At 52.7% G+C, this 12,229-nt stretch overlaps 5 annotated features.

The window, feature by feature from the left end:
* Positions 4,972-5,563: an enhancer, noted in NCBI's record as "NANOG-H3K4me1 hESC enhancer chr15:77849641-77850232 (GRCh37/hg19 assembly coordinates)". NCBI's record gives its function as "activates a minimal SCP1, AML or CMV promoter by ChIP-STARR-seq in naive H9 embryonic stem cells {active_cell/tissue: H9 hESC(naive)}" and the evidence as "EXISTENCE:reporter gene assay evidence [ECO:0000049][PMID:30033119]".
* Positions 5,564-6,157: an enhancer, noted in NCBI's record as "NANOG-H3K4me1 hESC enhancer chr15:77849047-77849640 (GRCh37/hg19 assembly coordinates)". NCBI's record gives its function as "activates a minimal SCP1, AML or CMV promoter by ChIP-STARR-seq in naive H9 embryonic stem cells {active_cell/tissue: H9 hESC(naive)}" and the evidence as "EXISTENCE:reporter gene assay evidence [ECO:0000049][PMID:30033119]".
* Positions 7,346-7,938: an enhancer, noted in NCBI's record as "NANOG-H3K4me1 hESC enhancer chr15:77847266-77847858 (GRCh37/hg19 assembly coordinates)". NCBI's record gives its function as "activates a minimal SCP1, AML or CMV promoter by ChIP-STARR-seq in naive H9 embryonic stem cells {active_cell/tissue: H9 hESC(naive)}" and the evidence as "EXISTENCE:reporter gene assay evidence [ECO:0000049][PMID:30033119]".
* Positions 7,939-8,532: an enhancer, noted in NCBI's record as "NANOG-H3K4me1 hESC enhancer chr15:77846672-77847265 (GRCh37/hg19 assembly coordinates)". NCBI's record gives its function as "activates a minimal SCP1, AML or CMV promoter by ChIP-STARR-seq in naive H9 embryonic stem cells {active_cell/tissue: H9 hESC(naive)}" and the evidence as "EXISTENCE:reporter gene assay evidence [ECO:0000049][PMID:30033119]".
* Positions 9,738-10,381: an enhancer, noted in NCBI's record as "H3K4me1 hESC enhancer chr15:77844823-77845466 (GRCh37/hg19 assembly coordinates)". NCBI's record gives its function as "activates a minimal SCP1, AML or CMV promoter by ChIP-STARR-seq in primed H9 embryonic stem cells {active_cell/tissue: H9 hESC(primed)}" and the evidence as "EXISTENCE:reporter gene assay evidence [ECO:0000049][PMID:30033119]".

The raw sequence follows: 12,229 nt of genomic DNA, 5'->3' as shown, positions 1-12,229 counted from the left end.
CAGCCTGGCCTTCCCCAGCCTCAGCCCAGAAATTTAGGGCTCTCTCCCCATGGATATTACAAACAATAGAACAAAGGGGTGTACACCTTTTGCGATATTGAGAGACATGTCATCACCCCCCCCAAATATTATGAACAATATTACAGGGGGTGTACACCCCCTGAGATATTGGGAGTAATATCATTCTCTCCCACCCTGGATATTATGAACAATATCACCAAGGGTGTACGTACAGGGTGTTTATGATATTGAAAGTAATATCATCTACCCCCCTGAATATTATGAAAAAGATCACAGGGGGGTGTACACCCCTTGTGATATTGAGAGTAATATCATCATCTCTCCCCCTGGATATTACGAACAATATAACAGTGGAATGTACACACCCTGTGATATTGGAAGTAATATCATCCTCTCCCCTCCCCCGGATATTACAAACAATATCACAGAAAAGTGTACACCCCCTGAGATATTGGGAGTAATATCGTCGTCTCCCATTCTGGATATTTCAAACAGTATCACAGGGGGGTGTACACCCCCTGCGATATTGGGAGAAGTATCATCCTCTCCCCACCTAATATTTCGAATAGTATCACGGGGCGGGTGCAACCTCTTCAATATTGGGAGTAGTATCATCCTCTCCACCACTAATATTTAGAACAGTATCACAGGAAGGTGTACACCCCCATTGGGAGTAATATCATCCTGATATTACAAACAATATCACAGAGGAGTATACACCCCCTGTGATATTGAAATTAATATCACCCTCTCCATCCCCTTGATACTGAGAACAATATCACAGGGGGGTGAAAACAACCCACAATATTGGCAGTAACAGCATCCTCTCCCCCCAAGATATTACAAACAATAACACAGAGGTGTGTACACCCCCTGATATACTGAAGGTAATATCATCCTCTGCCACCCTAGATATTACCAACAATATCCCAGGGAGGTGTACACTCCCTGCGATATAGGGAGTAATATCACCCTCTTCCCCCCTTGATATGATGAAGCTCATCACAGAAAAATGTACACCCCCCGCGATATGGGGAGTAATATCACCCTCTCCCCACCCGGATATTACGAACCATATCAGACCCCCCGCGATATGTGGAGTAATATCACCCTCTCCCCCTTTGGATATTACAAACCATATAACATGAATGTACACCCCCCGAGTTATAGGGACAAATATCACCCTCTCCCCCCGTGGATATTACAGACCATATCACAGGGGGGCGTACACCCCTCACGATGTGGGGAGTAATATCACCCTATCCCCTTCAGAACATGACAAACCAGATCATGGGGGATGTACATCCCCCACGATATGGAAAGTAATATCACCCTCTCCCGCCCAGGATATTAGGAACCATATCACACCCCCCGTGATATGGGGAGTAATACCACCATCTCCCCCCTGGATATTACAAACCATATCAAAGGGGGGTGTACAGCTGCTGCGATATGGGGAGTAACATCAGCCTCTGCCCCCCTGGATATTATAAGCCATATCAAAGGAGGGTGTACACCCCCACAATATGGGGAGTAATATCACCCTCTCCCACCCTGGATGTTATGAAACATAAAACTGGGGGGGTGTACACCTCCCACGATATGGGGAGTAAAATCCCTCTCTGATGCCCTGGATATTACAAACCATATTACACCCCCCGCAACATGGGGAGTAATATCATCCTTTCCCCAACTGGATATTAGGAAACATATCACAAGAGGGTGTACCCCGCAAGCGATATGGGGAGTAATAGCACTCTCTCCTTCCTTGGATATTACCAACCATATCACAGGGGGGTGTACACCCCCCACAATATGGGGAGTAATATGACCCTCTCCCCCCCGAATATTACCATATCACAGGGAAGTGTACATCCCCCGCAATATAAAGAGTAATATCACCCTCTCCCTCCCCAGATATTATGAACCATTTTACACCCCCCACGGTAAGAGGAGTAATATCATTCTCTTCTGCCCCAGATATTACGAACCATATCACGGGGTGGGTGTACAGCCCCCGCGATATGGGGAGTAATATTGCACCCTCCCCACCTGGATATTATGAACAATATCACAGGGAGGTGTACACACCCCACGATATGGGGAGTAATATCATCCTCTCCCCCCGTGGATATTAAGAACCATATCACAGGAGGTGTACACCCCTCGCGATGTGGAGAGTAATATCACCCTCTCCTCCCCTGGATATTACGAACCATATCACAGAAAGGTGTAGAACCCCACGATATGGCGAGTAATATCACCCTTACCACCCTAAATGTTACGAACCATAACAGGAGGTTGTACACCCCCCGCGATATGAGGATTAATACCACCATCTGCCTCCCTGGATATTACGAACCATATCACAGGGGGGTGTACACCCCCCACAATATGAAGACTAATATCACCGCCCCCCCCCCGGGATATTATGAACCGTAACACAGAAGGGTGTACACCTCACGCGATACGGGGAGTAATATCACCCTCTCCCCCACTGGATATTACGAACCATATCACAGGGGGTTGTACAACCCCCACAAATATGAGGAGTAATATCACCCTCTCTCTTCCTTCATATTATGAACCATATCATAGGAGGGTGTACACCCCCTCTGATATTGGGAGTAATATCATCCTCTCCCCCGCTGGATATTAAGAACAATATCACAGGAGGGTGTACACCCCCTTCGATAATGGGAGTAATATCATCTTCTCCCCCCCTGGATATTATGAACAATATTACAGGTGGGTGTACACCCCCTGCGATATTGAAAGTAGTATCAACCTCTCCCCACCGGATATAACGAGCAATATCACAGTGGCGTGAACACTGCCTGCGATATTCAGAGTAATATCATCTTATTCCGCCTTGGATATTACAAACTATATCACAGGGGCGTGTACATCCCCTGCGATATTTGGAGTTATATCATCCTCTTTCCTCCTGAATGTTATGAACAATATTACAGGGGGGTGTACACCCACTGAGATATTGGGAGTAATATCATCCTCTCTCCTTCTGGATATTATGAAAAATATTACAGAAGGGTGTACACCCCCTGCAATATTGGGAGTAATATCGTCCTCTCCCCACCTTGATATTACGAAAAATATTAAAAAGGGTGTACACACAGGGTGTTTACGATATTAAGAGTAATATCATCTCACACCCCTGGATATTACAAACAATATCGCTGGGGGTTTGCACCCCCTGCGATATTGGGAGTAATATCATTCTCTCTCCCCCCTTGGATGTTACCAACAATATCACAGAAAGGTGTACTCCCCCTACAATATGAGTAGTAGTATCACCCTCTCCCTCGCTGAATATTACAAACAATATTACATGGGGGTGTACACCCCCTGCGATATTGGGAGTAATATCATTCTATCCTCCCCTGGATATTATGAAAAATATCACAGGAGGGTGTACACCCCCTGCGATATTGGGTGTAATATCATCCTCTTCCCCCCGGATATTATGAACAATATCACAGAGGGTGTACGCTCAGGGTGTTTACGATATTGGGAGTAATATCATCTGTTCCCCTGGATATTACAAACAACTGCAATACAGGGAGTAATATCATCCTCTCCCTCCCTGGATATTACAAAAAATATCGCAGCAAGGTGTACACCCCCTGCGATATAAGGAGTAACATCATCCTCTCCCCGCCGGATATTACGAACTTGTACCTCCCCTTGTGGTCTATGTGGCCTCTGGTTTTCAGGCCCTTGTTCAGGCTGACCCTCTACAAGGAATGTCCTCCCCACCCAGTCTACTTGGAAACTCCTATGTCTACTTCTGATGCCCAGTCAAGTCTCTCCTGCTCTGCGCCTCCTTCCCTGATGCCCACCTCCCCTCCCCACTCTTGAACCACCATAAACCGCCACTTCATATGCTGACTCTTCCTTGTCTGTTTACATATCTTCCTCCCTCTTGGGTCTGTGAGCACCTTGAGGTCCAGGCTTACAGCAGGCAGCAACGTGTTTGTGGTGTAAATGATTGAGGCAATGACAAGAGGAGGGAGGCAGGTGCAGAGCCCCTGTCTGCTCCCTCTCCATACTTTCTTCTTCCTCTTCTTCTCTCCTACCTGCTTTGCCTTCCTGGCTTGCTCTTGGCCCTCCTTGCAGGGCCTAGTACAGTCCTGGGTCTGGTCCTGCTCAGCTCAGCATATTTGTTTAAATTTATACTCAGGACTAAACATCCAGTCACTCTTTAGCTTGATGTTGCCTGTCCTTCCAGTCATCCCTGTTCCAGTCAGAAGAAGGAACTTACTGTGGGGGGTGGCAGGGGCTGTGCTTAAAGAGTTTGCTTTCCCATGACCAGCAAAGTAAAAGACCTAGGAATTTGGTTCTATTCTCGTTTGCTTCTCTGAGCCTGTCCATGCCCACTGTCTGCCAGTGTCAATCTGGCCCAGCTCTGAGAGTCCAGAGGAACATGTAGGACATGGCAAGTTGACCCTTGCATCTATCAGAGATGGCATTCAATGGGCCTAAGACACAGGGGGCCAGTAATGTGCTGGCCGCACACCTCCTACACAACTCTCATGGGATATGAATGTCAAAAGCCCTCTCTGAGCTGCTTTGGGAACCAATATGGTGAAGTCAGGCCATCTGGCCACTGACCACCCCCTCTATTCCAGCCAGGCCAGGCCCCTCCTTACCCCATCTCCATCCTTCAAGGACCCTTCTGGAGCCTGCCCAGATAAGCTGAGCCTGTGCCATTCACAGCCCCTCTGTCCACCCTGGCCTGCAAGCTCCCAGAAGACAGAGTTTGGCTTTCAGCAGCCTAATCTTGAACCTGACCTCCACACTGGGCAGACTGGAACATTTAGGGGTTCCTGGTGGGATTTGATAGTCCCATCGCTGTACACAGCAAATGACAAGAGACATTGTTTAGTGTGTCAGATAGTAAAGGCTTTACACTGTACTCATCATCTCATTTGACCCCCATTCCCATATGTGGGAATGCTATTATCTCATTTTACAGAACAAGAGATGGCTGCTCAGCCCTTGGAAGTCATGTGCCTGAAGTCTCACTGCCACAACTCACATGTGGGGTGCCTCCCTTAACCACAGTATCACACTGCCTTTGGGCAGCTGTTTCAAGCCCAGAGTGCAATGGACTAACACTGAACATCGTGAAGGACTGGTCTCAGGAGGTACTCAAGGAAGAGGGCTTAAACAACCAGTTAAGCAGCACAGTCTCTCTAAGTTTCCCTGCCCTTGAACCCCTATGATCCTGGCACACAGTAGGTGCTCAGTAAATGTTGACCAGTGAGTGATGGCATGAATGGAACCTGAGGGTCTGAGGCTACACAGTCTGTTGCAAGCCCGGGACAAAGATGTGGCACCGGCAGTGTGGGGAGGGTGGAATGCTGGCCCAGGGCAGCTGTGCCCTTGCTGGCCTTATCAAGAAGGACACTGGGCCCCTGCGCCACCTTCCCAAATCCTGCCTCGGGCCTGCCTCCCGGGGAGTTTGGCAGCCACCAAGGCTGGCCTCACTATCTCTCTGTGCTCCTTGGAAGGGAAGCCTTTATCAGCAAACACTGCATTTGAAAGCCCTAATTGTCAAGCACGGTCCCATCAAAGCAGCCGAAAGCCAGGCCGCCCCCATCCCTCATGGCCCAGCAGGCTCAACTGGTTCCCCACGATGGCTGGCGGGTGTATATTTTAAAATATCTAAATACAGCTGAAAATAAAAATTATTTACACTCCCCAACCCAACTGGCAGGCCGCTTGCAAGTGCACGTTAACTGTGTCTATCCCTCCCCATTTCTCCTTCGCTGATAAAGGGCCATAAACAAGGCTGACACATTTATAATAACCTTTTTTCTTTCTCTCCTTCCTCCCTCTCCTGGGCTCCCATCTTGGCCTCTCACTCACATGCTATGAGGGATAATTTTTTATTATTCTGCCATTAGCAGAGAATAGAGCGTTTGATGAGGGGGAATAAAACGTCAAATCATTTAGAAAGAGAGGACGAAAAAACAAGCCAGCAACTTCTATTTTTCCACGTCAGCGGCAGCTGTTGGGATGTCACCAGCACATACAGCGCTTGGAAATGTCTTTTCCAATGTCTCCCCCTCCCCTGCCTCCCTTTTATTTCCTACTTTCTTTCCCAAGAGGTGGGAGCTGAGTCCACGGGATTGAGGGTGGGGGTTAGGGGGCTGGCTGGGTTTTTCTGCCAGGTTGCAGAGGGAAACTGGGCCCAGGTGGAAGGTGGTGAGGAATATCTCCGGACATGAGGAGGAGCTCTGCTGAGTTTCTGCCCCGCGGGGTCTGGGCATGTCTGGGAGCAGGTGTGGACGCTGCAGTGTGCAAGCCTCTGTTTATATGGGGAGATGCGAGGGCAGCCAGGGGGCTCTGGGACAGCTTGGCATCATGGTACATGGTGGGGGTGCTGTGTGCAGAGCCTGGAGGGGCTGATGGCACACAGGCTGGAGTCCCAGAAGCAGGTGCCAAAGCACAGCAGAATTGGGGCGAGGGGCCTGTCTGTGGATCTCCATAGACCTGCCTGGCAGAACCTTGGTATGGTGGGTAGCATGGGGGGACCTAGGGGTAAAAGGGACATGGGGTCTGCCTTCCCAGTGGGTGCGGACAGAAGGGTGTGGTGAGGCTCCCCTCTATACAAAAGGGGCCTTTCCAAAGAGCCTGGATTCAGAAGGCCGCAGAGGCCCTGTGGCTTTCAGAGCCTGCTCAGCTGCACCAGGGACCTTTCTAAGGCATTTTCTTCTTGAGCTGGATCATGAAGCAAGCCCTCTTCTTCCCTAGATGGCTGGCAGGAGCCTGCTCTTCCCACCCTGCCGAAGGTCTAAAATCCATCAGGACCTGCCTGTGACCTGGCTGCTGCCTGCACCCCAGGGCCCCTCCAGCACTGATGGAGACCTGGCTGGGTCTCCCTGAGTGGGCCCTCTCTGGGGTGTGACAGTGGAGGAGAGAATACTGACCTCCCCACTGGTGAAAGTGTCCCCCACCGTGTAACCATGGCTCCTAGGTGGGATGCCCAAGTCCAAAACTGCTGTCACCAAGGGTGGGATGCAGGCTTCACATCAGGTGCTGTGCAGGCCCCAGGCTGGAGGTCAAAGGGCTTCGTGGAGAAGTCTGGTAGATTTGGGTTGCTGAGAGAAGGGGCAGGGAGAGGTTCAAGGCCCTCACCTCACTACCGCAGAGTGCGGTGCCCGCACTGTGGTCATCCTAGATGTGTATGTTTAGCATGACATTCTTCAGCAGACTGGCAGAAAAGCGTCTGGAGGAAGGAGTGCCTTTGCTGATTCTTACAAGGGTATCCTATGGCCTAGCACCGGTGCTGCAGGTGCTCCAGGCAGGGCAGCTAGGTGAGCCCAGAGTAGAGGTAGGACTCAGAGGAGCCCACAGCCCGAAAGGGCAGAGTGTCTCGGTCCTGCTGGAGTGAAGGCCCAGCTGGGGCAGGGGGTGGAGGCCCTGCATGCACGTTCTCGAGGCCCATACACGTGTGCACACACACATGGGCTTAGTGAGACACATAATAGCCAAGGTAGCCGCAGGGAGGTGAAGTGATCACTGTTCCTACTCTGCTCTAGCTCCCAACATACAAGGCTGTCCTGTCATTGCAGGACTGGCTGACCCCCATTTAGCCAGCAGGACAGTGGCCCCACTGGACTTCAGCTGCGAGGAAGTAGCCAGTAGGCGACCCCTGATCCCGGGACAGCTGCCATTCCCTTGGCAGTTGGAGCCCCAGTGATGGGTCCGGCTTCACTGTCCATTGGAAGTGGAGGACGTGACATTCATGATGGACTCTCCATTGCCTGGATGGCCACAAAGAGGAGACTCGGTCTCCCCCGACCCCTCCCCACCCTTGCTGTACAACATCCTTTCTTCTCACCATCAAAGGGACATCTGTCTCTCTGTGGGAGGGAGACCAGCATCCTGGGAACACTCAGCTTTGATGTCCGGCTCAGCTGACTTGGCCAGGCCAGCAGCAGCCCCTCCTCCCTCCCCACTGCCCCGGGCTGCGGGCCCCTCCCAACATGCTCCCTCACACACTGTCCATCTGGCTCCCTCCTCTGAGCCCCCTCCTGCTCTCATCTCCACATCTGCCCCTCTCTGCTCCCTCTTCAGCCTGAGCCCCCAGGATGAGCCCTGGCCAGGAAGCTCCACCTCCACCAGCCCTTGATCTGGATAGGGGGTTCCAGGGGGGTCTGTCCTTCTGCGCTCGCTCCCCAAGGGCTGGCTCTATCCCAACCCAAGTCCTCCACCAGGTTCATTTCCCCATCATCTCACTGTGCTTTATGCACGTGTGTGTGTATGTGTGTGGGTGGGTGAGTGTGCACACATGTGTGTTATGTGCTGGCCTCTGACTCCCAGGACAGGGAGACACCCGGAAGTCAGAGCCTGGGTCCCTCTCCTCTGCCCTCAGGCTGGTCCCCACAGTGGAAAGCCTGCTTTGCTTTCTTGCTGTGCCCCAGCAGGGCGGGCCAGGGCCAGGCACCAGTGAATGAATAATGGGGACCTGGGGAAGCAGGTGGAGAAAAGTGGGTGTTATAGCTGAGAGGAACTCCTGGAGGCTGGAGTTGGGACTTTAGGGAGGGAGAAAACCACAAGAGGGCCTCAGCCCAGGGCCCAGGACCCCCCTGAGTGGAGGTGGCTGGCCCATCAGGAGCATGAGATCAAGGCAGAGGGGATAGAAGGAGTGGGTTGACCTGTCTGTCGTTTCTTCGTCATCTCTCCCGTGAGGCAGCAGGAGGCAGCAGGCCTGGAGCAGAGCTAACAGAGAGGCTGGAGGTGCTGGCAGTCACTTGAAGGGCAGTGGGCCCCAGGAGGACAGGCCCAGGCTCCCTGAGATGGGCCTGAAACTAGTTTCACTCTGAGTCAAGGATGGGCAACCTCCCTGGAGACCCTTCTCGGCCGCCAGATGCAGATCATTCCCTGAACCTCTGTCCCCTGCCTCTCTGCTTCTCTTTCTAGGCAATAGGACCCGGCCCCTTCCAGCAAGAGGGTTGGAATGAGAGAGTTGTGCAGGGTCTGGGGCGGGGGACAGAGTTCGGAGGAGGAAAGGCCACCCTAATGACCTATGCTCTGGAGACGTCAGGCTTTGTTAAGAGAAGTGGGGCACCAGAGGGAGGGAAGCAATGGGTCCCATGTTCTGGGTTCATTCAGGACAGTCTAGGAGCAGCGGTGGGAGGGGACAGGCTGCCGGTGGGGGGCAGTGGGTGGTCTCTGCACATGTCTAGGGCAACTGTGGGCTGTGAAGGATCACAGGACAGATCCAGGGTCAAGGGTGCTGGGTAAGGAGGCTTGATGATCACGGGAACGAGGACATGCATCTCTCTCTCTCACACACACACATGCACGCACACAAATACACACACACAAATACACACACATGCACACAGACACACACATATGCACACACACAAAAGCAAACACACATGCCCACTCCCTACACACACCCTACACAAAATCACACAACTCACACACACATATTATACATATACACACATCATATGTACATGCAAACTCAGACATGTTACACACACACCATAGACATAGCCATAGACACATATACATGCTCACACAGGCACAGATACACATGGGTACATATGCATGGTCATATTTGCATGTCGTACAATTAACAGCCATACAACACACTATTCATACACACATGTACACACAGACATACCAGATGTACACACAGCCCCTGCCTGCTCCCTAGGCTCTGGCAGCAAAAGCTCTCACCTCCTTGCCTTTGCCTACCAAACCGTCAGCATTCACGGGCCCTAAAGCGGACAGAACCCGCTCTTCTCCCCTCTAGCCCCTCCAGTTTGCTCACAGACCATCCGGCCTCAGCCAGGTCCCCTCCCCTCCCCTCTGAACTGCATCCTCACACACCGGGCACTGCTTTGCCCCAGGCTACCCCACCCTCCCCTGCTGGCTTCTCTTTTTTTTTAAGCCTGAGGACTACAGTGGACAGGGCAGAGCATGGAGGGCTGCGGAAGCAAGGGGAGGAGCAAGGCTATTCTCTCCATTTTATAGATGAGGCCACCGAGGATCCCACAGGGTAAAATGGGCCTTTTGTTTATACTCATCCCAGATCAGGGTTCTTTGAACTGCAGGGAAAGCCCAGCACCCCACACCCCGCAGTGTGAGGGCCAGATCCTCTCCAGGGAGGAACAGCAGGCTGTAGCCCTGGGCCTTGTGGATGGAGAGGACCAGAAAAGGTGGAGATTGCGGTGGAGGGGTTGGGGGAGGCAGTCCTTCCAGGAGGACGTAACAGCTTCAGCCAAGGCTAGGAAGTCGGAAAGTACGAGGTCCAAATGACACCAGCAAGTCCTTGAGCTTGTGCACACTGAGGCACAGAGGGAGAAGGGTATGGAAAGGCTGGCTGGGGCTTGAGCCTGAAGTGACATGGAGCCAGGCTGAGCCCTTGCTCTGGTGACAGGGAGCCCCTCCTGGCCTTCCTGACAGACTTGACCTCCAGCAGGGAATCTGACTGAGACCTGCAGCCTCCAGACCTCGGAGAGCCAAGACAGGTAAGAGCTGTCCAGAGCAGGGTGTGGCCCTGACAGGTAAGAGCTGTCCAGAGCAGGTTGTGGCCCGGACAGGTAAGAGCTGTCCAGAGCAGGGTGTGGCCTGGACAGGTAAGAGCTGTCCAGAGCAGGGTGTGGCCCGGGCTTGGGTCCCACCTGAGGAGCACAGCCCAGACACTGTCCGAGGCCTAGAGGCTGCCCTGCAGGTGAGGCCCACACAGACAGCCCTCCTGAGATAGGTGGCACTCCCCAGTGCCACCTGTGCTCCTGCTCAAGGACATCTTCAAGCGAATATGACTTAATTATTTGAGTAGTGGTCACTGGCCACCCGCAATGCAGTTTTCCCCTGGTTAACGTGACTTCGGAGGGTCCCAGCAATGAGCACCAGGGAAGGGGCAGGTCCTGCTCTCCAGCTTGGGCATAAATCTGTTGAGGGTTCGGGGTGGGAGGTGGAGTGAGGGTGTCACCCTTCTGGACTTATTAGCTGAAATGTCTTGTGGACCTAGGGGGCCAAGTCCACACCATTGCTTGGAACAGACTGGTTCAAGGCTGCTTTGGAGGACTCCAATCCCACATGTTTTATGTTTTGTGTATTGATTCTTTATTGTTATTGTTGATGTTCTGTTTGTTCCAAGTAAATATCTAACAATGTCCAGGTCAGTGGGTTCTACAGATGAAATGCCCCAAGCACAGTGTCTCACCCTAACATGACCTGAGATGCTGGCACATTTATGTTGCTTCCCAACACACGTGCTTGGACACAGGCATGTGCATATGAGGATGAAGCCAGGCAGGGGCAGCCCCTGCCTCCTGCTCTGTCGCCACTGGCTAGACTCCAGGAGAGAAGGAAGGCCTAAGGGGCCGGGGTCAGAAGGACCCCACCTGTCCCAAGAAGGTTGTGAGAAGGTAAAGGAACCCTACACCTAGGGTTCCTCACTCGTTGGGCCAGGCCAGCCAGGGCCTCAGAGGCCGCACACCTGAGCAACATCCTGAACAGAGCAGTGTGGCTGCATCATTCAGGAATCTAAGACTGAGCCAGGCCCCATGTGATCTCATGCCCTCCCTGGGCCTTGGGATCCTCTTTTGAGGACAAAAGCAGGCAGTGGTGTGGCTTTGGGATGCCAGCACTCAGAGGCCCCCAGTTCCCGTGGCCCAGGCACAGCAGCCCCAGCTGGTTCTCCCACATGGTAGGAGCTCCCGGTGGCTGTGAATGGGCCTCCCTCAGGCAGGCCGCATGGGCAGTCAATGGGGCAGGCAGGCCATAAATCCTGGCTCAGGAAACCTGCCCCGCCTGGCTCCAAGATGGCCACTTAATTTAACCACTGCTGTCACAACAGCTTTGTGGGCCTGCTCGCCTGGGCCTATGGGATTTATGGCCCTGGAAAGACCTTCTCATGCCTCAAGTACTAGTGGAATGCCCAACCCCACCCTGCTCTGGAGAGACGCAGGGTTAGAGCAAGAAGCCCCGCCAGTGAGGGTGCCACAGACAAGAGCAGCCCTTCTGTCCTCTCCCTGGGCAGCCCCAGCATCTCACCCCACTCTGAAACACCTCCCTTCTGCTAACAGGGCAGGACTGAGGACTAAGGCAGGGGTGTGGACAGATGGCTCTGCCAGGTTTCTACCCTGAGATGCACTGGCAAGGAGGGCAGCCTCCCTTGCCTCCTCTGAGGATCCCGAGTGGTCCTGTCCTCCCC

This window comes from Homo sapiens, chromosome 15 (genome assembly GCF_000001405.40).
Source record: "Homo sapiens chromosome 15, GRCh38.p14 Primary Assembly".
Classification (NCBI taxonomy): domain Eukaryota; kingdom Metazoa; phylum Chordata; class Mammalia; order Primates; family Hominidae; genus Homo; species Homo sapiens.
The sequence above is the reverse complement of the archived record's forward strand: the minus strand, read 5'-3'. Positions and strand labels throughout refer to the sequence as shown.